General features: G+C 52.0%; 3 annotated features.

Moving 5' to 3' along the window:
* Window positions 2,642–3,257: an enhancer, noted in NCBI's record as "H3K27ac-H3K4me1 hESC enhancer chr1:25398512-25399127 (GRCh37/hg19 assembly coordinates)". NCBI's record gives its function as "activates a minimal SCP1, AML or CMV promoter by ChIP-STARR-seq in naive H9 embryonic stem cells {active_cell/tissue: H9 hESC(naive)}" and the evidence as "EXISTENCE:reporter gene assay evidence [ECO:0000049][PMID:30033119]".
* Window positions 19,956–20,459: a silencer, noted in NCBI's record as "fragment chr1:25381310-25381813 (GRCh37/hg19 assembly coordinates)". NCBI's record gives its function as "represses an EF-1alpha promoter that drives an FKBP-Casp9 reporter gene in an ReSE screen in HepG2 liver carcinoma cells {active_cell/tissue: HepG2}" and the evidence as "EXISTENCE:reporter gene assay evidence [ECO:0000049][PMID:32094911]".
* Window positions 23,171–23,689: an enhancer, noted in NCBI's record as "H3K4me1 hESC enhancer chr1:25378080-25378598 (GRCh37/hg19 assembly coordinates)". NCBI's record gives its function as "activates a minimal SCP1, AML or CMV promoter by ChIP-STARR-seq in naive H9 embryonic stem cells {active_cell/tissue: H9 hESC(naive)}" and the evidence as "EXISTENCE:reporter gene assay evidence [ECO:0000049][PMID:30033119]".

Raw genomic sequence — 24,742 nt, 5'->3', positions numbered from 1 at the left:
TGCACTTTATTTTTTTGGAGAGTGTGTAGTTTTATGATATTTGATCACCTGCAGACTACAGTAACTATCACCACAGTCAGGATAAAGACCCCTTCAGACCCTAATCATGGTACAAATCTTAGTGATTGTCATGACAAGGCCAGCCCCTGAGGCCTCATATGGCTCAGAGCCAGGGGATGTTCTGGGGTGAGACTGCAGGGGAGGTAAAGAGAGGGTCAAGGCATCTGAGGTGCTGACCCACTGGGAGGTTCGCCTCTCTCCGGGGGTCCTGGTGAAGGTCACCTTGACCAAGTCCTTCTCCATGCACCTGAGCACGCAGGCAGCAGGGAGACGCAACGCCTTTAACTCTTCCAGATTAATCCTTCTAAGTTGCAACAATATTGATATGCTATTATTTTCCATCTTTATTCATCCCCTGGCGAAGAAAGAATGACTCCCCCCAGGCCATTCATAATTGAAAAATGCTTTTAAGGCCTTTATGAGTTGAATACTAAATTTCTCGAGGTGCCTGCTTTATTGGGCCTCCAGTCACCGATGATACATTTGCTCCCTAATGTTCTTTAAGGAAAGGAGCTCGAGCGGCACGATGGATGTGTCCGATTGGAATCAATGCTCATTAGTGACTCCAGTGGCCAGGTGGGCCTGGGCTGCTTGCTGGGCAAGGGACAGGCTCTCAGCAAGAGACAAGGGCGAGGCCTGTTGGCTGCCATTTGCCTTGGACTGGAGCTTAGCCTGCCTGACTTCCTTCCTTCCTTCCTTCCTTCCTTCCTTCCTTCCTTCCTTCCTTCCTTCCTTCCTTCTATCCTTCCCTCCTTCCCTCCTTTCCTCCTTTCTTCCTCAATAGATTCTTACTCTGCCAACTGTGCCCCAGGCCCAATGCTGGATACAGGCCTGGATCAGGCCCAGACACAGTCCTCAAGAAGCTCCCAGGACACACAAACAAACACGCAAAGACAATAGAGTGCTCCGTGTTTGACACTGAGAGTGTGCTTGGGGCCTGGGAGGCATGAAGAAGAGAGAGGTTTGTTTTACCTGGCGGCTAGAGGTCAGAAAACACTTCCTATCAGAGGTGACAGTGGCGTGAGATCAATACCTGTGGTGTGAACGAAGGGACTCACCAGTGGAGGAGGAGAGAGTCACACGGTCACAGGCAGGGAGGTGTGACCCAGCCTGGGACGAGGGGAGCCATCAGCTGACTTCTTAGATAAGTCACCCAGGTGGCCAGAGCTGCAGCCCTGCCGATCCAACTCAGAATCCCTTACTTGACAAATAACAGAATAAGAAGAGTCCTCAGAAAATACCTGACCCCAACCCTCATTATTCTGATGGGCAACTGAGGCCCAGAGAGGGAACGGGACTTGCTCAAGCTCTCCTAGTGGGGCGATGGGGAGAGCCAGGACCCAGGGATGAGTCTCTGGCTGGATCACCTCGAGACCAAAGCCCTGCTTCGGCGCTGACCTTGGAAGTCTTAGTTTGTCATTGCATGAGGGTGTGGGCTCAAGACTTGAAACTTGAAGTCTCCTCAACTTCCAAATGCTATGAAGACCAGAGAGAGAAAGGTCTGATGTCAGGTCACCACAGCGAGTTAGTGACACAGGTGGTGGTTGGGGATGTACAGATAAATTTAAGCTGAGTAAAAATAAGCAGAGAGAGGAGGCCAGTGTTCACTGCGCGCCTGGGGCAATCCGTTCCTTATCTGCGTCCTCCTGTTGAATCTCTAGCTAGCCTTGGTGGTGCACGGTGTAGCTCTGGTTTTGCAAATGAGGAAACTGAGGATAGAGGCAGGGTGACTTGCCCAAGGTCATACAAGGGGAATCAGGATTTTAACCCAGGTTTTTTTTTATTTTATTTTTTACTATTATTTTTTAAAAGTCAGGCCCTCTCTCTGTTGCCCAGGCTGGAGTGCAGTGGCATGATTATGGCTCACTGCTGCCTCAACCTCCTGGCCTCAAACAGTCCTCCCACTTCAGCCTCCCAAGTAGTTGGGACTACAGGTGTGCACCACTGTGCCCAGCTAATTTTTTAAAAAATTGTTTCTTTTTTATAGAGGTGAGATTTTGCCCTGTTGCACAGGCTGCTCAAACTGCTGGCCTTAAGCAGCATTCCTGCCTCGGCCTCCCAAAGTGCTGGGATTACAGGTGCAAGCCACTGCCCCTGGTAGGAACCCAGATTTTTTGAAAATGTCAAAGCGCCTGTGCTTTCTCCTGTCCTGGGCTGTCCCCTTATGTGTCTCAAAGAGAAGCTGAGGCTCAGACACAGGAGAGCTGCCCCCTCTAGGGTTCCTAAGGGGCCTCGGTCCAGGGTCTCTGACCATCCCCCATGAGGCGTTAAAACCTGTCAAATAGTTAAGTGACCAGATAGACCTGGTCCTTTGTCCTCCCCTGAGGAGGCTGATGCTCAGTCTCTGTCCAAAGCTCTGGAGTTGGGGGACGGTGCCATAGGGAGACAGCTACCAGGATGGGCAGAGGGGCAGGGCCAGTGCCCCAGCTCTGCCTCTCCAAGGGCCTCCCTGGGCAGGCCTCTCTCCCCACGGCCTGCTGAGGATCCAGGAGGTCTTGGTCTAACACAGACCTGGCATGCAGGTGCTCGGGGGGCACTCAGGCCTCTGACCCCTGCAGCTGGCTGTGAGCCTCACACCTGAGCTGTGGGCTTGGGATCTAGTCTCTTCTCCCTGAGTGACGCCACCCTAGTGGTCCATGTGGGCCATGTGTCTGCAGTCACTTGCTCCCTCCTTAGGCCCGGGGAGCCAGCCACAAGTTGAACAGGCCCCTGGCAGTCATAGAGTCCAGCTGGTCTCACTCACAGGCTGCCTTAACTCAGCAAACCTCAGGCCTGGGGGCCTCGGCCAGCACACCTTCTCATTGCCTCCAGCCACTATATCAAGGTCCCTCCAGCATGGACCTGGACATGGCCAGGCCAGCTGCCCAGAAGGAGCAGTGGTTTCTTGGGGTCACCCAACCCAAGAGACGGGCATCCTGGTCTCCTTCCTTCCTTGATCCATCTCTGCCCCTCCAAGTACTCTTTCTCTTCCTCACGATGCTGCAATTCTCACTTTGGGGTCTTTCCCCAAATCTTTGAGTGGCCCTTGGCTAGTAGCTCAAACATCGCATCCCTAGCTAGGATCTCTGGGCTAAAGCAGTGTCCCCTGCCCCGGTCACTTTCTGCCACATCACCCTGCATTGTTCTCTTTAAGGCATCACAACTCTGAAATCACTTTGTTGACGTGTGTGTTGATGTGTGTGTTTACCTGTGTGTTATCCGTCTCCCTCATAGGGAAGTTGTATTTAGCACGGGTTAAATGAGTGAAGGAAGAAAGAGTGAACGAATGAATGGGTCATGGCCTGACTGTTGCTCAGAGCTTAGAAGGGGTGCTCTGACTCAGTGGGCTTAAATCCCCGCCCTGCCACTAACTAGCTGAGTGAATAGTAAACAAGTGACCTCATGTCTCTGGGCCTCTGTTTTCCCTTCTGCAAAGTGGGACCAGTGACAGCTTCCTCCCAAGGAATAGGAAAGTGAACACAGTGGTCAGGTGAGGGTCTCAGGATGCAGTGAGAGCTCACTGCCAGGGGCTGATGAATTGCTGGGCAAAGAACATTTCCTTGGGGTGTGTGGGGCTGGGGTCGGGGAAGTTTGAGTGCAGTGAGTGAATTTGGGAGCAGCGGGAACCTTGGATTCCGGTCCCAGCAGCTCCTCACTGGCCATGTGACTTTGGTCTGATGACTGTTCCGGGCCTCAGTTTCTCCATCAGACTCATGGGAAGACTCATTTTTCATGAAGACACACAAGAGATGGTTTGGGAGCGCAAGTGAGAGCATGTATCCGTGGAGCAGAGGGAGAAGGAGCACACACTTGGGCATCTGATGGGCCTGGGCTTGTGCCTCGGCTTGGAGAACCACTAGCTGTGTGGCCTTAGCCACAGTGAAGTGAAGGTGGGCCCCACTGAGAGTGGGACCAGCCCTGAGGTTGCCAGCTCCAGGCCTGCCCTTGGGTGCTCGCAGGAGGTGCTAAGTAGAGACAGATGGTAAAGGAACAATGTTGGCCCAGCAGGGAGAGTACACTCACACAGGAGGCCCAGGGGCTGTGGGAACCAGCCCTAACCCTGTGTGTCCCTAATCCAGACACTGTGTCAAGGAAGGCTTCCCAGAGGAGGCAGCACGGAAGCCAAGACCCAAAGGGTGAGGAGGAGCTGGCTAGTGATAGAGTGAGGAATGGGGAGGGGGAATGCCAGGCAGGAGAGAGCTGTGCAAAGGCCTGAAGGTGAGCAAGAGCTTGTTCTCCATAGGCCCCATCTGGTGGGTCTCCACTCCCTCCCAGGAGACTCCTGTTGTGAAACACCCCAGCCTAACATGGAAGCTGTGGATCTCTGAACTCAGGCAATCGGCCATCAGCATTTGTCTCAGTCTGCTCTGGTTGCTGCAAAAAAACACCACAGATGGGGTGCTTAAACAACACACAGTTACTTCTCACAGCTCTAGAGTCTGAGAAGTTCAAGATTAAGGTGCCGGCCAGTTTGGTTCCTGGTGAGGGCTCCCTTCCTATCTTGCAGATGGCCACCTTCTCACTGTGTCTGCGTGTGGTGGAGAAAGAGTGATTTCTCCCTCTTCCTCTTCTCATAAGGGCACTAATCCCATCATGAGGGGCCAGCCTCAAGACTGCATCTAACCCTGATTACCTCCCAAAGCTCCCATCTCTAAGTACCATCACATTGTGGGGGTTGGACTCCAACCAATGAATGTTTGCAGGGACACAATTCAGTCCATAGCAGCATTTGTTGGAGGCCTGAGGGCCAAGTAGGAGTACATGGGATCTGGAAGGACCCTCAGTGGTTTTATTCTAGAGGATCAGCATCATGAGGGCAGGTGCTGTGTCTGTCTGGGGCCCAGAACACAGTGTGGCACGTGGCAGGTGCTTGGAACATACTTGTTAAATGGAAGGGGGAATCCAGCACTCTCCTATTAGGTGGAAAAACAGGCTGAGCTAGCTAGGGCAAAGGGTATGTCCAGCATCATGCTGAAGGCTGACGGCCACACCGGGAAAAGGGCTGCCCCTCAGACCAGTTCAGCTCCACTTGCATCCTTTTATTCGACATTTATTTATTAATACCTACTGTATCCCAGGGAGCATTCCAGTGCAGGAGGTACAGCAGTGAGCAAAACTGACTGTCTGATTTCATGGAGCCTACTCTAGTGGGGAGAGGAGGGCAATAAACAAGATTAAGAATTAAAATAGATAGGATGTCAGGTGCTGACAGATGCCATGCAGAAAAGGAGTAGATCCAGAGGGGAGAGACAATGAAGAGAGGGCTGGAGTCCTTAAAACAGACATGTCCGGGAAGGCATCTCTGGGAAGGTGACATTTGAGCAAGGCCTAAAGGAAGATGGCGGTTTAAAACTATGCCCCCAAATTCCTTGATATTCTTCCCTTCAAGAGACGAGTTTAGGCCAGCCACGGTGGCTCCTGTCTGTAATTCCAGCACTTTGGGAGGCCGACGTGGGCGGATCACCTGAGGTCAAGAATTCAAGACCAGCCTGGCCAACATGGTGAAACCCTGTCTCTACTAAAAATACAAAAATTAGCCGGGTGTGGTGGCAGATGCCTGTAGTCCCAGTTACTCAGGAGGCTGAAGCCAGAGAATCGCTTGAACCCGGGAGGTGGAGGTTGCAGTGAACAGAGATTGTGCCACTGCACCCCAGCCTGGATGACAGAGCAAGACTTCATCTCACAAAAAAAAAAAAAAGAGAGAACTTAATTTTCTTTCCTTGGAGTGTGGACTGAACTTGGAGACTCACTTCAAGCTAGTAGAATGTGCCACAAACCAAGGCTTATGACTTCCATGGGTAGGTCATGAAATACGTTGCAGTTTCTGGTTTGCTCTTTCACTTGGAGGACCGCTCTGGACAAAACCAGCTGCCATGCCATGGAGAGGCCCACCTAGAGAGGAACTAACCCCTTCTTCCAGCAGCCAGGGAGGAACCAAGGCTTCCTGCCAGCAGCCTTGTGAATGCGCCACCTGGGAAGAGGACCCTTCTGCCCCGGTCAAGCCTTCAGATGGCTGCAGCCGCTGCCAACATTCCCAGAGCAGTGTCATCCGAGGGCCTGAGCCAGAATCAGCCACTCCTGGATTTCTGACCCATAGAAACTGTGTGATAATACGTGCTTGTTGTTTTAAGCTACTAAATTTTGGGGTAACTTGTTATGCAGCAGTAGACAAATATAGAAAGGGAAGAGTCAACCGTAGGGAAACTGGGGGTGACAGTGACCAGCAGAGGGAGTAGCAGGTGCAAAGGCCCTGAGCCTCCACATAGGGAAGGTGGAGACAGCACCTGTGGCCCAGCCCCCCATCTGGTTGGTCCTCAGTGTCTTTGTTTGCCACCAGTGCTCTCTTGACCCCTCCAGGGGTATTATTGAATGAGAAATTTGATGAAAGACCCAGGAAGGCTCAGAGAAGTTAGGGACTTGCTCAGCCACATGGCCAGTTGTGGCGAACCTGAGATGTGGGCTCACTCCAAGCAGGCATCTTCCGTGTTATGGCCACCAACGCTGACTTCTGACCCCTTCCCACACCTCCTGGATCAGACTTCCCAGAGGAGGGGCCTGGAATCCCCACTTTTATCACTTCCTGGGTGATTTGGATCCATGTTCCTGATGGCAAGCCCCTGCCCTGCAGGCCTCGGTTTCCTTGGGTTCTCTGCAGCTCCTGATCTTCAAGCCTCCCAGCCAAGACCATCTCATCCTTCAGAATCTACCCCAGGTGTTACCTCCTCTAGGGAGCGTTCCCCCGACCCTTCCCTGATCCCCAGGGTCAGAACTCCCAGCCACAGGTGGGTGCTGAGCCCTGCTCTGGCCCCTCTTCCACAGAGGTATTAATGATTGTCCATGTCATTGCTCTTAAACACTGGCTCGCCATTATTCATTTAGACGTCTGAGTCCCTGAGGCTGGAGAACACGTATGCTGTACCCCATACAAGCCCAAAAGCCAGTGTAGGGCCTGGAGCCTCATAAACTCCAGGCCCTACAGTACAGTGCAGTGTTCTGGATGGGGAGAAAAATCAAAAGATGGAAAAAAAATTGGAAGAAAGGAAGAAAAGGATAGGAGGAAGATGGGGAGAAGATGAAGGAGGGATAAGAGGAGAGACAGGAAAATTGTGAGGAGGGATGAGAGGAAGGACGGGGGGAGGGTTGAGAGGCGGGATAGGAGGAGGGACAGGAAGAACCAGGAGGAGGGTGGGAGGAGGAATAGGGAGAGTCCAAAAGAAGGCTTAGAGGAGGGATGACAAGGGGCTGGAGAGTGAAAGGATGGATAGGAGGAAGGTTGGGAGGGGAGGGATGGGGAAATGAATGCATGAATGAGTATCCAAGTGGGTGAACACAGTCTCTCCAACCACCGTGGCTCCCGTCTACCCAGACAGGAGTTGCAACTTGCTGTAACTCCAGGCGGGCTCGGCTAAGTTAACCAGGCCTCTGTTTTACTAACGCCCTCTTTTGCAGCAGAGGCAATTAGAGCTAACGGCTGGAAGCTTCTCCCCAGGCAGCCCCACCTGCCCTGTCCTGTCCCATTAACTTCCAATTCAACAGCCATCCCTGACCTGCAATGTATAATGAAAGACATTCAAAATATATCCAAATGGCATGAGTATTGATTTATTAATGCTGGGGAATGTTGCTCTAATTGAATTGAGATCCAGGAAGTAAGTTAATGTAGCTGACGGTGCTACAGGAATTGAATTACCCCAGGGCCCAGAATTATTACCTTTTCACTCTCTTTGTTGTCAGTGGGATAAATAACAAATCAATTGACGATTCACCCTGGTGGCAAGAAAAAAAGGCCCACGGAGCCCTGGGCACAGGGCTGGGGAACAGGCATGGGTGAGGGGTGAGGAGCTTCCTGGAGGAGGTGGAGCGGGAAGGGGAGAAGAGGAGGGTCGGCCCCTAGGCTTAGAACCCTGCCTGAACTCCCTACTCTTGCCAGCTTCTCTATTCCAGCAGCCAGAGTTCCATAACCCACAAGCTGCCCGGGCTGGAACAGCCATCTCTGCCCACTGAGGGCATCCCTCACTGCCTCTCTGGGGTCCAGAGAGTGGGATGAAGTTTCTCCAAGTCACCCGGAGAGTCTCACCACATCCCTGGCCTCACTTCTGTTTGCTCATCCTCAGGTGTCTGCGCCTGGTCCCTCTCCTTCTCCCTCTCGCCCTGGGCTTCCTATCTCTAAGGGTCCTCTGTGGTTGGAGGCCTCCACTGGGCAAGGGTTTCTGTCCCTCTGTGGAAGGCCTGATGTTCCTTTCACCTTGCCACTGAGAGATTCGTGCAAGAATTCTGGAAACGTCTGAGAGGAAGAAAGATTCTGGTTTGCTCCATTGTAAGGAAGAACCCCAGGAGTGAGGCCAAGAGGTTACAACTTCAACTAGCATCTTCCTTAAAATCCCCTGCACTCCTCTTCCCCGTTGTGTCTTCCAGCTTTCTCTCTGCCTCACCTCCAATGCCACACCTTTTAGGGGCGTGGCAGTCTCTTCAAAATAGAGGCTTGTGGACAAAGGCATGCCTGGTTTGCAAACCTAGGAATGCTCGTTGCTAGCTTTGCAACCTTATTGAATTCTTACCTCGGAGCCTCAATTTGCCCACCCATCAAATAAGAGCAAACCCCCCTTGAACCTCACACACTGGTGGCTCAGAAGTGCTGCAGAAAACACTCAGCTGTCAACGACAGCGGGGCTGGCGAGTGGCTGCCAGGGACCACATGCTCCTCCTGCCAGACGCCTCCAGCCGTCGGCTGTCCAAATGGGTGTCTGCAGAGCAGCCCGGCTGGCCGTGTTCTGGTCAAGGAAGAGAAAGGCTGAGTTAATTAAATCAACAGCTAACAGTGCAGGTTACCCACAAAAGTGAACTTTAGTGCCCCTAAAACCACTGACCAAAGGAGGGCTGGGAAAAAAAAAAGAAACCACAGTTGGAGTAAAATGGAAAAAGAAATCAGCAGCTCTCCATCACTTCAGCTGGCCACAGGTATCAGAATATTAATTGGTCTTTGACTCGATTTGGCTGTGGGAGTCAGGGCAGGCTGTGGCTTCGGGGAGCCTGACAGCACCATGGGGCCAGCGCAGGGCAGGCTGGGAGCTCACTGGCCACAGGGGAGGGGAGGGGAGAGGGGCGGGGGCCTGGGGCCTGGGAGGACGCACTTGTGAGCAGGGGGGTGGGCGGGTGTGAGTGTGGAAGTGGGTGTGGGCGCCCTGCGGGTGTGAGGCATGAGAGGCACGTGTGAGTGTGGTGAGCTGGCCGGGCCACACGCAGCGTCACTTGAAAAGAGCCCAAACCGTGCTGGGTGCAGAAAAGCTCTCCAGGCATGCTGGCTGTTGTTCTCATCTGGTTCTCACAACAGCTCCAGCAAGAAGGAGGCAATTCCGTGAAGGAGGCGGTGGAGGCTGGCAGATAGGGCTTGCCAGGTCTCTCCCGAGAGCTCCCGCCGCAGCTGCAGCAATCACGACACAGATCATGATATGGTTAGTTCATATTTAGGAAGTGACTGGTGGGACTTGAGCCCACTGCCAGGCACGGAGGAGGCACCGGAAGCATTTGGGTTGAATTTGCTCAGACTCTGAATCTGTGCTCTGGACAGGCACCTGTGCCCGGCCCAGGCCCTGCACTCTTTTCCAGTGGCTTCTCAGGGGTCGGCCTGCAGCAGCCAGGGGTGGGTATCCATGCCGTGGCGGAGAGATCAGAGTTGCACTGTGGGGAGTGGCTTTCTTTTGCCTGCAGCTGCTGCTTGGTGTTCTCTGCCGCTCACGGCCTATGAGCACAGAGATTGTGTCCTGCTCTTCCGCCTGCTGCCCACCCATTACATGTGCCCATGGAACATAAGAAGAGCAAGTCATCTATCTGAGGGGCATACCCGCTGCTGGGGACAGGTTCAGTGGAGCTCATGAGTGGTGTGGAGGGGCAGCAAGTGCCCAGCAGACCCTCAGGAGCACCTGGATGCACTTTGAGTTTGGGGGAGTCGGGAGGATGCAGTCTCTTTGCAGCAGTGCCCCCCATGCCTGGACAGAGGCCTTCAACCAAGGAAGGTCTGCTCAACTCCCCAGCCCTCTTTATTGATTTTGGGACACTGTGGGCAAGAAGGGCTCTTAGATCACTTGTCTGGCCCTTCAGTTCATAAAGGAAGTGATGAGGCACAGAGAGGGGAAGGGACTTGCTTGAGGTCACAGAGCAAGTCAGAACGCAGGGCTCCAGGTTTCCAGCTCCAGGCCTCTCAGACTTCCGTGCTTCCAGGGGCCATGTCGGTGACATTAAAACCATAGTGCAAGTGACAATGTGGCAACTGACGTTGGCTTCAGTGTCAGGAAGGCAAGAGGGAGAGTCCTTGTCTGATCCCAGGGAGGGGGGGCTGCCACCCAGCAGGAAGGTGGGCTTTATTCCACCAGAGCTTCTGCTTTTTCCAGCAAAGTTGGAAATCGGGGTTTTCATGTGATGTGAAGTTTTACAATTGTTAAATGTTGACAAAGCTAAAACAAAAAAAAATTCAAAAGCATGGTGACATGCAAAGCAAAATGACTCATTTGACACCTGTGGGTTACAAGTTTGCCACCTTGGGACTGTCTTTCTGTGGGGCTTGGTGGGTGGAATTGTGGGAGGAGGCGAAAGGCCTAGATGCTGCCAAGAGGATCTGAGCTTTGAGACACTGTTGTCTGATTATATTCATTCATTCATTCATTCATTCATTCATTCATTCATTCACCCTCTGGTCTGGGCTTTGCAGTCTCTCTTCCTTGTTTCAGGGGGTCTGCCTTCCCGTTGGCAAAATAACCTTGTTCTGAGATTCCCAACATCCCAGCAGCCAGACTACGGGCAATGAAGGATTTCCAGGGAACATGGGAACCTGCTGGTATCTCTCCTTGCATTTTTCTGGATAAGGTTTAAGGGCTTTCTTGGTGCGGTGGAGAGTGAAGCTGAGCTGCAGAGCCCACTCTAGACAGACCTAACCCCTAGTCCTGGTCCCATTCCTACCCTGGGGATTAAAATTTGGGATTGGCAGATCAGGTTTGGATCCAGGTTCTGCCACTAACAAGCTGTGTGACCTTAAACCAGTGACTACCCCTCTCTGAGCCTCGGAAAGAAGACCCTGCAGATGCCTGGCCCAAGTCCCCTCAGCCTTCACTTTTTCCCATTTGGTGCTGCTTACTGCACACGCCATGACTGTTTGCCCGAGGGCATTTCCTCTCTGTGTGAGTGAAATCGAAGCTGAAGGGCTTTGAGCCCTGGAACATATGCATCCGCTGAAGCAGCCCTCGGGCAGTAAGGCCTGAAGGCAGACAAATATCCCAGCCTCCTGTCCCCTCAGTTGGGATGATCCTGGGGCATATTCCACGCCATCTCCCAGCAAGCCCCAACCACTTTGGTTGCCCGCAGTGGTCATTTGTTTAATGACTCAGCCTTTTATGTCTTTCTTCCCTTCCCTGTCTCATTTCTCCTCTTCCTTACCGGTATTTCCTGGTATCATCTCTGAAATGCACTACTCACAGGGAACTGAGCCCTCACCTAAGGGCTGCTTCTGGGGGACACCATACTAAGAACCTCAGTTTATGCAGCTGTCAAATGGGTCCACTTACCATCAGCATAGCTTCAGAATTGCTGTGAGGGTAAACAACTTACTGCATATGTAAAATGCCTGGGAGCTGCCTGGTACCCTGCTAGCCTTTCCTCAATGGGTGGTAGGTTTTTTTATTTTTTATTTTATTTTTATTTTTATTTTTTAGACAGATTCTCACTCTTGTCGCCCAGGCTGGAGTGCATTGGCAACATCTCGGTGCACTGCAACCTCCGTCTCGCAGGTTCAAGTGATTCTCCTGCCTCAGCCTCCTGAGTAGCTAGGATTACAGGTGCCCACTACCATGCATGGCTAATTTTTTGTACTTTTAGTAGAGACGGGGTTTCACAATTTTGGCCAGGCTGGTCTTGACTCCTGACCTCAGGTGATCCGCCCACCTCGGCCTCCCAAAGTGCTGGGATTACAGGCATGAGCCACCGGGCCTGGCCAGGTGGTAGGTTTTATTGTTGTTGATGAAGGTGTTGTGACATTGGGCTGACCCCCAGGTCCCAATTTCAGGTCCTTTAGGGCAGTTTCGATGTGGGGGCCTGGCTGCTGCAGGAGGGCCTCAGGGGCTGGCTTGTGCACTGAGGGTGAAAGAGGCAGGAAAGACAGTGGCCTCTGTGGTGGGGACAGAGGGGATAGTGGGGTCTGGGTAGCAAGAGGGTTGGGCCCCCAGGGGAGCGCATTGGCACTACCCCTGCCCCCAGACCTCAGAGTTGTTATTGAAAATGGTGCTAATGGGGCCAAGCCCAGCTGTCACCATCAAGGGAGTGGGCACCACAAGGGAAGGGGGCAGAGGATGAAGGGGACCCTGTAGCCTGGTATGCCCCATGGCCACCTCATGTTTTAGGAGTTGCCTGAACTGAGTCTCCAGCAGGGGCAGGGTTTAAGAGAGACAGAGTCTGCTGAACTCAGAACAGAAGACTTCTGGGGTGGTGGTGCAAAGGCCTGGCTGTCTCCCTGGAAGAGCACATGCGAGATCTTTAACCTGCCCAGATTCTGGGGAGGCCACAGAGGTCAAGATCCCAGTAGGTTCTTGAGCCAGAACCTTGGTCAAGACACTCCCCACCTCCCGCCCCCTAATCAGTTTCCTCATCTTTAAAATGGAACTAAAAAGAATCCCACTGACTTCCTAGGCTTGTTTTGAAGTGTCCATAAAATAAAATTGAGCCAGAGAAGCATGTGCAAGCTCCTTCCCTGGGAAAGATCATGGCCTCCCTTCTCTGCCCAGGCCCTGAGCTTGTCCCTGTCTATGCCTCTGACCTTCTGCCTGCCTGGCCTGGAGGGTGGAGGTGCTGCACCTACATTTTCTTCCGACTTACCTGCCTTTGGCTGCAAACCTCACACAAACTCAGGGGGCCTGTGGTTGCAGCAGAATCTTTACGTCCAAAGGGATGTAGCTCCCTTTGGGATAAAGGGTTTAGGGTGCCCCCCAAAGCCTTTAAGGAATGAGGTTCCAAGTGAATCTCTTGTCTTCAATCAGTAGTATCCGTCCCTGCCACCAACACACACACATACTCACACACACACACACGTGTCCTCTCTCACAATCCTGCACGAACCTCCTGGGAGAGCCGTTCTGGACTTGGTCTCTGAGTTCCCACAGCCAGAATCACCCTCTCCTGCTTCACAGCCATCTTGCTCAAGAATCCTAAATCAAGCACCTGAGAGTGTGCAAAGCCCCGTCGTGTACTCAACTCTCTCATTTGCTCCACAGAATCGCCCCTTGAGGGTTGTAGGTCACAGTTAAGATTCCCATTTTGCAGATAAGAAAACTGAGCCAGTGGCCAGGACTAGGGTGAGGCAGGCAAGAGGCCCGGGGTGTAAAATCTAAGGAGGTGCTTGTGGTGTGGCACCCATCCGGCACGCGTGGGAGCCTGGGGGTGAGCTGCCCTGTGCCCCTCGCTTGACTCCATCCTCACCGTGGGCCACTGAGTCCTGGCTCTGAAGCTGAGGCTGGAGGGGCTCCAGGACCTGCCTGAGTGTCTCAGTGAGGAGGTGGCAGAGCTGTCACCAAGGTCCCTTTTCCCTGACCCTGGGCTGGGGCTCTTTCGTCTACACCACAGTGAGATAATATTTTTGGATGGAGGGATTTTTAGTGGGGAAAATGACCCTGGTAGAAGGAAGAGGGGTTTGTGTGGGGTTTTGGTTTTTGGTTAAATACAAGACCTGGAAATACACCAGGAGTCTGTCCAGGAACAGCTGGGAAAGCCCTTCGTGCACACAGTATGAGGCCCAGTGTGGGGGTTTGCAATTCTCATGATTCTTATCAGTCTTCCAGAAGGAGGGGACACCTCAGCATTGGGAGGTACTAGTGTCCTCAGGGGTGTGGGAACAGGACTATTTGGCAGAATCTGGTAACACTAACAAGTGCACAAATCCTGAGGCGCAGCCATCCCACCTCTAGAAGTAACTGGAATGGCTGCTGATGCTCCTGACGCGGCAGGCATTGTTCTTAGTGCTCTACACGGTATAACTCATTGCATGCTCACAGGGGCCTCTGAGGTAGGTGCAGTTATTGTCCCCATTTTCCAGATGAGGAAACTGAATTCCAGAGAGACCTGTCCAAGGTCACTTAGCCCGTAAGTGGCAGAGCCGGCTCCTGTGTCTGTGCTCTAAGCTGCTGTCTTTTTCATTTATTTATTTATTTTTATTATTATTATACTTTAAGTTTTAGGGTACATGTGCACAATGTACAGGTTAGTTACATATGTATACATGTGCCATGCTGGTGCGCTGCACCCACTAACTCGTCATCTAGCATTAGGTATATCTCCCAATGCTATCCCTCCCCCTTCTCCCCACCCCACAACAGTCCCCAGGGTGTGATGTTCCCCTTCCTGTGTCCATGTGTTCTCATTGTTCAATTCCCACCTATGAGTGAGAATATGCGGTGTTTGGTTTTTTGTTCTTGTGATAGTTTACTGAGAATGATGATTTCCAATTTCATCCATGTCCCTACAAAGGACATGAACTCATCATTTTTTATGGCTGCATAGTATTCCATGGTGTATATGCGCCACATTTTCTTAATCCAGTCCATCATTGTTGGACATTTGGGTTGGTTCCAAGTCTTTGCTATTGTGAATAATGCCGCAATAAACATATGTGTGCATGTATCTTTATAGCAGCATGATTTATAGTCCTTTGGGTATATACCCAGTAATGGGATGGCTGGGTCAAATGGTATTTCTAGTTCTAGATCCCTGAGGAATCGCCACACTGACTTCCACAATGGTTGGACTAGTTTACATTCCCACCAACAGTGTAAAAGTGTTCCTATTTCTCCACATCCTCTCCAGCACCTGTTGTTTCCTGACCTTTTAATGATTGCCATTCTAACTGGTGTGAGATGGTATCTCATTGTGGTTTTGATTTGCATTTCTCTGATGGCCAGTGATGGTGAGCATTTTTTCATGTGTTTTTTGGCTGCATAAATGTCTTCTTTTGAGAAGTGTCTGTTCATGCCCTTTGCCCACTTTTTGATGGGGTTGTTTGTTTTTTTCTTGTAAATTTGCTTGAGTTCATTGTGGATTCTGGATATTAGCTCTTTGTCAGATGAGTAGGTTGAGAAAATTTTCTCCCATTTTGTAGGTTGCGTGTTCACTCTGATGGTAGTTTCTTTTGCTGTGCAGAAGCTCTTTAGTTTAATTAGATCCCATTTATCAATTTTGGCTTTTGTTGCCATTGCTTTTGGTGTTTTAGACATGAAGTCCTTGCCCATGCCTATGTCCTGAATGGTAATGCCTAGGTTTTCTTCTAGGGTTTTTATGGTTTTAGGTCTAATGTTTAAGTCTTTAATCCATCTTGAATTGATTTTTGTATAAGGTGTAAGGAAGGGATCCAGTTTCAGCTCTCTACATATGGATAGCCAGTTTTCCCAGCACCATTTATTAAATAGGGAATCCTTTCCCCATTGCATGTTTTTCTCAGGTTTGTCAAAGATCAGATAGTTGTAGATATGCAGCGTTATTTCTGAGGGCTTTGTTCTGTTCCATTGATCTATATCTCTGTTTTGGTTACTGTAGCCTTGTAGTATAGTTTGAAGTCAGGTAGTGTGATGCCTCCAGCTTTGTTCTTTTGGCTTAAGATTGACTTGGCGATGCGGGCTCTTTTTTGGTTCCATATGAACTTTAAAGTAGTTTTTTCCAATTCTGTGAAGAAAGTCATTGGTAGCTTGATGGGGATGGCATTGAATCTGTAAATTACCTTGGGCAGTATGGCCATTTTCACGATATTGATTCTTCCTACCCATGAGCATGGAATGTTCTTCCATTTGTTTGTATCCTCTTTTATTTCATTGAGCAGTGGTTTGTAGTTCTCCTTAAAGAGGTCCTTCACGTCCCTTGTAAGTTGGATTCCTAGGTATTTTATTCTCTTTGAAGCAATTGTGAATGGGAGTTCACTCATGATTTGGCTCTCTGTTTGTCTGTTTTTGGTGTATAAGAATGCTTGTGATTTTTGTACATTGATTTTGTATCCTGAGACTTTGCTGAAGTTGCTTATCAGCTTAAGGAGATTTTGGGCTGAGACAATGGGGTTCTCTAGATATACAATCATGTCGTCTGCAAACAGGGACAATTTGACTTCCTCTTTTCCTAATTGAATACCCTTTGTTTCCTTCTCCTGCCTGATTGCCCTGGCCAGAACTTCCAACGCTATGTTGAATAGGAGTGGTGAGAGAGGGCAGCCCTGCGTTGTGCCAGTTTTCAAAGGGAATGCTTCCAGTTTTTGCCCATTCAGTATGATATTGGCTGTGGGTTTGTCATAGATAGCTCTTATTATTTTGAGATACGTCCCATCAATACCTAATTTATTGGGAGTTTTTAGCATGAAGGGTTGTTGAATTTTGTCAAAGGCCTTTTCTGCATCTATTGAGATAATCATGTGGTTTTTGTCTTTGGTTCTGTTTATATGCTGGATTACATTTATTGATTTGCGTATATTGAACCAGCCTTGCATCCCAGGGATGAAGCCCACTTGATCATGGTGGATAAGCTCTTTGATGTGCTGCTGAATTCGGTTTGCCAGTATTTTATTGAGGATTTTTGCATCAATGTTCATCAAGGATATTGGTCTAAAATTCTCTTTTTTGGTTGCGTCTCTGCCCGGCTTTGGTATCAGGATGATGCTGGCCTCATAAAATGAGTTAGGGAGGACTCCCTCTTTTTCTATTGATTGGAATAGTTTCAGAAGGAATGGTACCAGTTCCTCCTTGTACCTCTGGTAGAATTCGGCTGTGAATCCATCTGGTCCTGGACTCTTTTTGGTTGGTAAGCTATTGATTATTGCCACAATTTCAGCTCCTGTTATTGGTCTATTCAGAGATTCAACTTCTTCCCGGTTTAGTCTTGGGAGAGTGTATGTGTCGAGGAATTTATCCATTTCTTCTAGATTTCCTAGTTTATTTGCATAGAGGTGTTTGTAGTATTCTCTGATGGTAGTTTGTATTTCTGTGGGATCAGTGGTGATAACCCCTTTATCATTTTTTATTGCATCTATTTGATTCTGTCTTTAGAAGCGTTCGCCTGAGGGTGATCACACTCTCAGGACTGCAGAATGTTCACAAAGAAGGGAATCACATCAGTGCCATGAACAGGGGAGCCACACCCTCCAGAACATCCCTCAGTCCTCCCGGACTGTGAAACAGAATGAACGCAAACTACACACTGTTCCCCCGTGCTTTCTACTGACACTATATATAACTACATATTAACCGGAAAAAAAGGGACATGCTACTCTGTACCCGATCCCATCTGTTTAAGAGAAAAAGCAAAAGCACACACGGCTCTCTAAGCATTGAATGGGCTGGGGGTATCCAGACCAACTGGGTGCTGGTGCCGAGGCTGCCTCTAGGGATTGGTGGGGATGGAGAACTAGCTCTGGGAATGTGGGCAGTGGGCAGTGATCTGTAACAATGAGCCGGTGTTACTTTTCTAATTAATCAGGAAACATGTATTTTTTAAAAGAAAAGGTATAAAAGGATCTTAAAAAATGTGTCCTGAGGGGTCCCCCCTTAAGTTTTGGCTCCCAGACTCCCTGTGGAGGCCTCTGCCTCAATGACTCAGGTCTGTCCTTAGGGAGAGGGGAGGGACGAACGTGTCACAAGGAAATATTTCTGCTTTTTGTCTTTCTCAGCTCACCCTTTAGCCTGGGGCAGGTGAGGGGCTGGGGGCGTGGTGCCTGATCTTCTGCTGATGGCCTCAGTGGCAGAGGGCAGTGGACCAGGAAACTGGACTCTGCCTGGGAGCCCTCACCCTTCCTAGGTCGCCATGTCCCTCCTCTCCTCTTCCTGCCCAACCCTGACCACTTGTGTACACTTGGGGTATTTCTTTCCTCTGGCCTCAGTTTTCTCACCTGCAGAATGGGAATAATTTCTCTCCTAAACTCCCTCTAAGGATGAAGTAAAATGCACTTGAGAACTGTCGAGAAGGGAAAGATTGGAGAGATAATTACAGTTTTTATTTAGTAGTAACCTTTTGGATCAGAGAGATCTGGATTTGAATTCTAGCTCTCGCACTGACTAGCTGTGAATAAGGTAGTGAACCTCTGGCCTGTTTCTTCATCTGCGAAATAGAAATAAAAGTAAGTAATTTGCAGAGCTGAAATAGAAATTCAATGAACTAATTCAAGGAAGCATTCAACCTGGCTCCTGGCATACAGTAAGTGCTCAATAGTTGGTTGTCGTGATAAGGAGGAAGGGGCAAGGAGCTGCCCGGGGTGCCTGCAGCTCACTGAGGCCTGAGGGCATCAGCGGCTGTGCGGCCGGGAGGATGGCCAGTGTGAAGGGCAGGCACTTGGGAAGCTGGGCCTTCTTTCTGCCGTGACTTTGAGAAGGGGAACCAGGGCTGGGGTTTGGCAGGAGGAGTGTGGCCACTATGGCAAGTCCCACAGCCCGAACCTGGGGGCTGCTCTCCCACCGCACGCCGGTGGGCCGTTGGGGAATGGAGAAGTTAAGAGCCATCTCCTGGGGAGGGCCAGACAGGCCTGGCCGAGGGTGGAAAATCCCTCTGGTCAGAAGGCATGAGGAGTGGGAAATGCTGGCTCCAGGCCTGGCCACCTGCACCCCCCACAATCCTCAGTCTCACACCCGCTGCCTGGGCCCCAGGCTTCCCCAGCTCAGCCCCACCAGGTCAACCGAGGCCAGATTAACCTTCCTGAGGCCCAGCCTGGACTGGCCCCTCTGCCGGTCAGGCCTCTCAATGGCTCCCCAGTGTCCACAGACCCACCTTCTCACCCTGGCCTTCTGAGCCTGCCTCAGTGCACCCTCAACTTGTCTTCAGCCTTCCCAGTGTGGCTGGAGGGGTGGCATGAGGATCAACCAGTCCCAGAGTCTCCCAGGCTGATGGGGGACAGCCCTCCCTTCCTCACCTTTGCCCAATCCGGCACCCTAGACTTCTCCCCTGCATGGAGTACGCACTGGCTCCTGTGGGGACAGCACTTCCCAGCTTATGCAGCAGATCATCCATAGTCCCACTGCACAGCAAGGTGGGGACTGGGACCTCCAGGTAGCAGCCATGGAGATGGCCCTGCAGCTCCCCTTCAGGAGATGCTGCCTGGAGCACAGCAACTGAGCGCCAGCTCTCTGGATCCACCACCACGTTTCCCTGGAGGCCACAGGCCCTGCCCGTTTCTTCCTACCCTCCCTTCCCCAGCACAGTGGAGGTGTCATACCTGCACCCTGGCCTGGAGCCCTCTCTGCCTGCTCCTGTTCCCTCTCCTGGTTAATCTGCCCAGGGTCTCCCCCAAGAGGCCTCTCGCCCATCTCACCCCATCCTGGTGCCTGCTTGTCAGAGACCCAAACCAATGCACCCATTCAATAGTGGGGCAAATGGAAACAGAAGTGAGAAGTGACTTCCCAAAGTCACACAACTAATTATGGCCAGATCCAGGTCCAGAACCCAGGTTTCTTCCTTCCAGCACTTTTCCCCATGGCCTCACCCCCTTGATCAATAGTGAGATCCAGTGGCAGGACAGCCTCCCTCACAGGGAACGAGGCTGCCCTGGAGGCCCTGAACTCAGGCAAGAGATTCTTACCTGAACCCACATCTTGAGAGATCTGGGCTCCTGCCCGCAGGAGCCAACACCCTCTCCCCGGTGGTGGTGGGGGCTCAGGTCCTGTTGCCTGTGGGGGTCCTGCTGGGATGGGGAGGACTGTCTGCAGGGAGCCTGGGCGCCTGAGCCACTGGCTTTTAAAGCTGCACAACATTATTAAGTCCAGGCCACAGCAGGAGGGGCGGGTGGGCGCTGGGGCAGGGACGACAGGCCCTAATGGCTTCTGAACGACTCTCTGTCGCCATTTCCCACTTCTGGGGAGGGCAGGACAGGGGCTCAGGGCTCCGCGTGCGGGGAGGGACTGCTGGCGGGTGGGAGCTCTGGGGAGCCTGATCTTGCACTTGGGAGGCAGCCGTTTGTGAGGGAGGCTGTGTGACCAGCTCCACCTTTCATTATCAAGGGCCTCATTCTCCAGGGAGGGAAGGCAAGGCCCTGGGTGCAGGGACTTACTCAAGGCCACAAAGTGAACCAGCACGAGAGGCTTCCTGACCGCCTTTGCCCCTTGCAGTGAAGTGCCCCCTGCCCCAGCCTGCCCTGCATCAGATTCTCTCCCGCTCTTCCCACACCCAGGCCAACCATCTCCATCAGCTCCCTGGAAGATGCCAGGGTTGCGGCTTCTCCCAGGGAGAAAATAATCCAGCACAGCCAGCGCTTCTGCCTGCTTGACTCCCTCACTTCGGTGGGGGTTTATCTTCATCACAAAGCACACTCCTGTTACACATAAGTAATGCAATGTTAGCCTCTGCTCTCCAGGTGAATCATGAACCCGGGAGTTCCCACTTCTGCATCTTCCTTCTTGCAGCCATTCTCCCCGGCCCCCTCCTCTCCGTCCCTCCAGCACGACAAGCCTGTCCCTCCACTGGGCTTTAGCTGGGCCCTGCTCCCCCTGCTCCCCATGCCCCACCACGGAGCTCCACTCATCCCCCACATCCCAGCTCCAGGGCCACGCCTTTGGAAAGGCACCCTGCCCCGAACCCTTGATGCAGTGAGGCCCCCCACATGTCTCTTCCTGACACCCATTCCTGCTTGTCATAATTATAGTCATTGTCGATACATTTGGGATTCTTTGGTTCATATGTTTCTCTCTGTGCTCTACAGCAGGCTCCAAGAGCACACAGGGTCAGCTCTTGTTGTGTTTATAGTAGCATTTGATAATAATGAAAGGAAGGGAGGGAGGGAGGGAGGAAGGAAGGAAGGAGAAAAGGCGGGGGAGGGGAGGGGAGAAAAGGGAAGGGAGGAAGGGAGGGATGGAGGAAGGAAGGAAGGATGGATGGATGGATGGAAGGAAGGAGAAAGGAGGAGAGGGAGAGGGAAGGGAAGGAAAAGGAAGGGAGGAAGGGAGGGAGGGAGGAAGGGAGGGAGGGAGGAAGGAAAGAAGGAAGAATGGAAGGAAGGATGGATGGAAGGAAGGACAGAAACTGAGATTTGGGAAATAGACCATCAAACTCACACAGAAAATAACACCATAAAGGCAAGATGATTGCTTGAGTTGAGTTCCAAATTTGGCTTTGAGCTTCCCAGCAGCCAAAGCAGAAAGGAAGATATGGTCAGTGACATGAGTGTTGGTGTCAGAAAGGGGGAACCCATCAGTTCCTCAAGGAAGTCCAGCTGTTTGTGGGAGAGCGCATGGTGGCAGGGCGGCTGGGGTCCTCTGCCCCCCTCTGTGTGTGCACTCATGGCTTTCTCGAGGCAGTCTGTGGGTAAAAGCTGAGACGCTGCTGAGCGACGGTGTCTGTGCAGAGAGCTGAGGCGACGGACCACGGCTAGCCCAGGGGAATGGGTGTGTGGTGTGCCCACTCCCCTACCCCATGTGCTCCCAAATCCTCAGTCCATGGGTCAGGGATGATCATCCCAGCCGGGGAGCCCAGCTCCATGCCTGGCTCTTGGCAAAGCTTGGCTCTCAGAAGATCTTAGGCTGCGCCTCAAGGAGTCACCTCTGGCCGGGGAGAAGGGCTACCTGTGGCTGCAGGGTGTGGAGTGTGGTGGTGGAGGGTGGGCCCTGGAGTCAGCCTCATTTTCATGCCTACTCCAGCTCTGCCATTTCCCACAAGTTCCCTCCCCTTGCCCTGCTTCCTTCCTGCTTTGTGGAATGGGATTGTCACAGCACCGCCCTCGGGACGACGCTGGAAGGATTGAATGAGACAAAGCACATCCAGGGATGAACATCGTAGGAGCCCAAGACATGTCAGCACTTGTTAGGGTCATTATAACTAGAGGTGCCCAGTGCCAAAGCCAGAAGGTTCTCACCAAAGAGGCAGAGACTTGGTGAGAGGAATGTTTGCTTCCGAAATGAAAAAAACCAGGGGGACATATCTTATGGTACAATTTTAGACACTGTTGTCTTCAGCATCTCCCATGGACTTGCCCTGAACTTGGTTTCTCTGGAAGGAAGCAAACTGAGGCTCAGAGCCGCAGCCTTGGGCACGCCTAGAATGTGTGTGTGGGGATGGGGGTGGGTGGAGATGGGATGGACCATTTGGGAAGATGAAAAATACCAGGTATTAGGCAAATGCCCAGGCTCACATATACCCAGGAGGGGCTCTAGGAGTTCTGGAGAGAAAGAGACCATGCAGGAGGCCAAGAAGGGGTCCCAGGGGTGAACTAGGAAGAAGGGTAGGATTCAGGTGCCAGGAGGGAGGAGAAGGGCATTGCAGGTGCAGAATTTGTTCAGGGGACAGCCATGGGAGCAGCTGCCACCTGGTGCGGGACTCCACCCTGACTGAGCTTTGTCATGTGTGCTTACGGTCCTCAGAGCTCACATATGAGGAAACTGAGGCATGGGGAGACTAAGAAACCTGCCTGAGGTCACATAGCTTGTGTCTGGTCTGCTCAGGCTGCCATAACAAAATACCATGGATTGGGTGGCTTAAATAACAGAAATTTATTTCTCACAGTTCTGGAGGTTGGAAGGTCCAAGATCAAGGTGCCAGCAAGGTAAGCTTTATTACCAGAGAGGTTTCACCCTTCTCTTGGCCGTGGGCTGTTGCCATCTCGCTTTGTGTGTGCGTGGAGAGAGGGAATGAGTTCTCTGGTGTCTCTTCTTATGAGGACAATAGTACCCGCCTTGGGTCCACAGGGCCCCACCCTCAGGACCTCATTTAACCTTAATTACTCCCTTAGGGGCCCCATCTCCAAATATAGCCATAGTGGGGGTGATGGCATGTGAATTTGGGGGTCACAAATGTTCAGTTCATAACTTGCTATCGAATCTCTTGGTCCTAGCATTGGTTTAACCAGGCGCCAAGTCGAGATCTGAACCCAGACCACAGCCCTGGCCTTGAGCACACATGTCGGGGGGATGAGTGGTTGGGGCTCCCAGGCTCAGGGGTGCCTGGACAGAGCGAGGTCCTGCCAGAGCCGACGAGAGTCTGGGGTGAGCAGCAGTAGCAACCATGTAGAGGCAGAAGTGGAGGAGGGAGCTTCCCCAGGAAGGTCAAGGATCGATGGAGAGTAAGGAGAGCTGGTCTGGGCAGGACGAGGCACTCATTAGTGGGAGGCCCAGCTGGCCGACTGCTCCAGACCGTGAACTTGGCAAAGGGCAGCCACCCAGGGGCAGAGGGTGGCCTGTCCATGCAGATGGGACTCCCGAGGGGGTCCTGGCCAGATCAATGCGGGCAGCCAGGTCGATGACAGCTCAGCAGGCCCTGGGGGCGAGACTCCGGCTCCCCACACAGGGGGATCATAATAGCACTCATGCTGCATCAGAGCATGTGCTAAGCACTTCCCAGGCCACGGGTGCTATTGCAGAAGCCCTCAGTCAAGTTCAACGCCTTAGGTGTTTCACAAAGCCACCCTGCAAAGCTGCTCTTGCAATCCCCATTTTACAGAGGAAGAAATTGAGTCTTAAGAGAAATCGAAGGAATTTGCCCAATGCTGGGGAGTGGCTCAGACCCAGACAGCCCGACTCCAAACCCCAGACTCTTGATGATGAATTTTTGCAGGACCATCTCTCCTTGGCTGGGGCCTGGGCGCCTGTTTCTCCTGCGGGCTTGGTGGACAGACTGGTGGGCGGTCTTATCCCCTCTCCTTTGGCTGTCTCTGGTTTGGTTTCTTCAGTGAATGGCAGGTGGAGGTGGAGTGCAGAGGGGCAGGAAAGCAGAATTGAACTCCATAAGGCAGCTGAGCAAACAGGCTGGCCTGAGACCCAGTGAGGAAGCTGGGGAGGAGGAGCTGGGGCAACCATTGTGCAGGCGTGTGCACTGGCTGCCATCTCTCCACCCTCATGCCCCAGCTGTGGACTGGCATGGGCCCATAAGGCTTCTCTCCCAGACTGACCCTTACAACTTTGCCCTTTCAGGTCACTGAAACCTGGAGCCCCATGTTGGTGGGGAGGGGTACCAGCCCAGTGTAGATTGTTGTGTACCTACTGAGTGCCAGGCACAGTGGTAGGCACAAGGGATTCTATGGCAGGTTAAACCAGGACAGTCTCTACTTACATGTGGCTTACCGTCAATCAGGGAAGTCTGGCATTCATCACCTAATCCCACACAGCAAGGTGAGATTGTGGCTGGGACCAGCGCTGCGGAGGGGCCACAAGACAGAATAATGGTGGTGGTGGTGTGATCTAGCAAAGAGGATGAGGGAAGGCCTTCCCAAGGAAGCGGCAGTTGAGTTGTGCTCTCAAAGAGAGTAGGTTAAGAAGGAAAGGGAAGAATGTATGGCCTGTGCAAAGTTCCTGTCTGGGGAGGAAACGAGGAGGATGCTGGGGTCTGAAAGAAGGCAGCCAGAGGGCGGGAGCGCAGAGGAGGCGAGAATGGTTTGGGGAGGTGGCTGGAGAGGTAGGCAAGGGCTGGACACACAGGGCCTTGGGGTCATGTGGAGGAGGTGAGGCTTACTCTAAGAGCTGTGGGACATCACTGAAGGAAGGGACCGCATACACTATTTTGTGGATTCTAGAACACACATTTCACCTTTGCTGCCTATGAGACTGATATGCATCTTATAATCCATGGCACCTGGCGGTGTCTTTCTGCGTGGTACATAAAACTGTGGTGTGTCTTACAATCGATCAAAGATGCAGTTTATGGAATGGATGAGAGTGGGATGCTCCAGTTCAAGAGGTGAGGAGCCTGGGGTCCCACGTGCTCAGCTCCCCTCACCATGCAGGAGCCC

Source organism: Homo sapiens, chromosome 1 (genome assembly GCF_000001405.40).
Source record: "Homo sapiens chromosome 1, GRCh38.p14 Primary Assembly".
NCBI lineage: Eukaryota > Metazoa > Chordata > Mammalia > Primates > Hominidae > Homo > Homo sapiens.
Note: the sequence above shows the minus strand (reverse complement) of the source record. Positions and strands in the feature narration are given on the sequence as shown.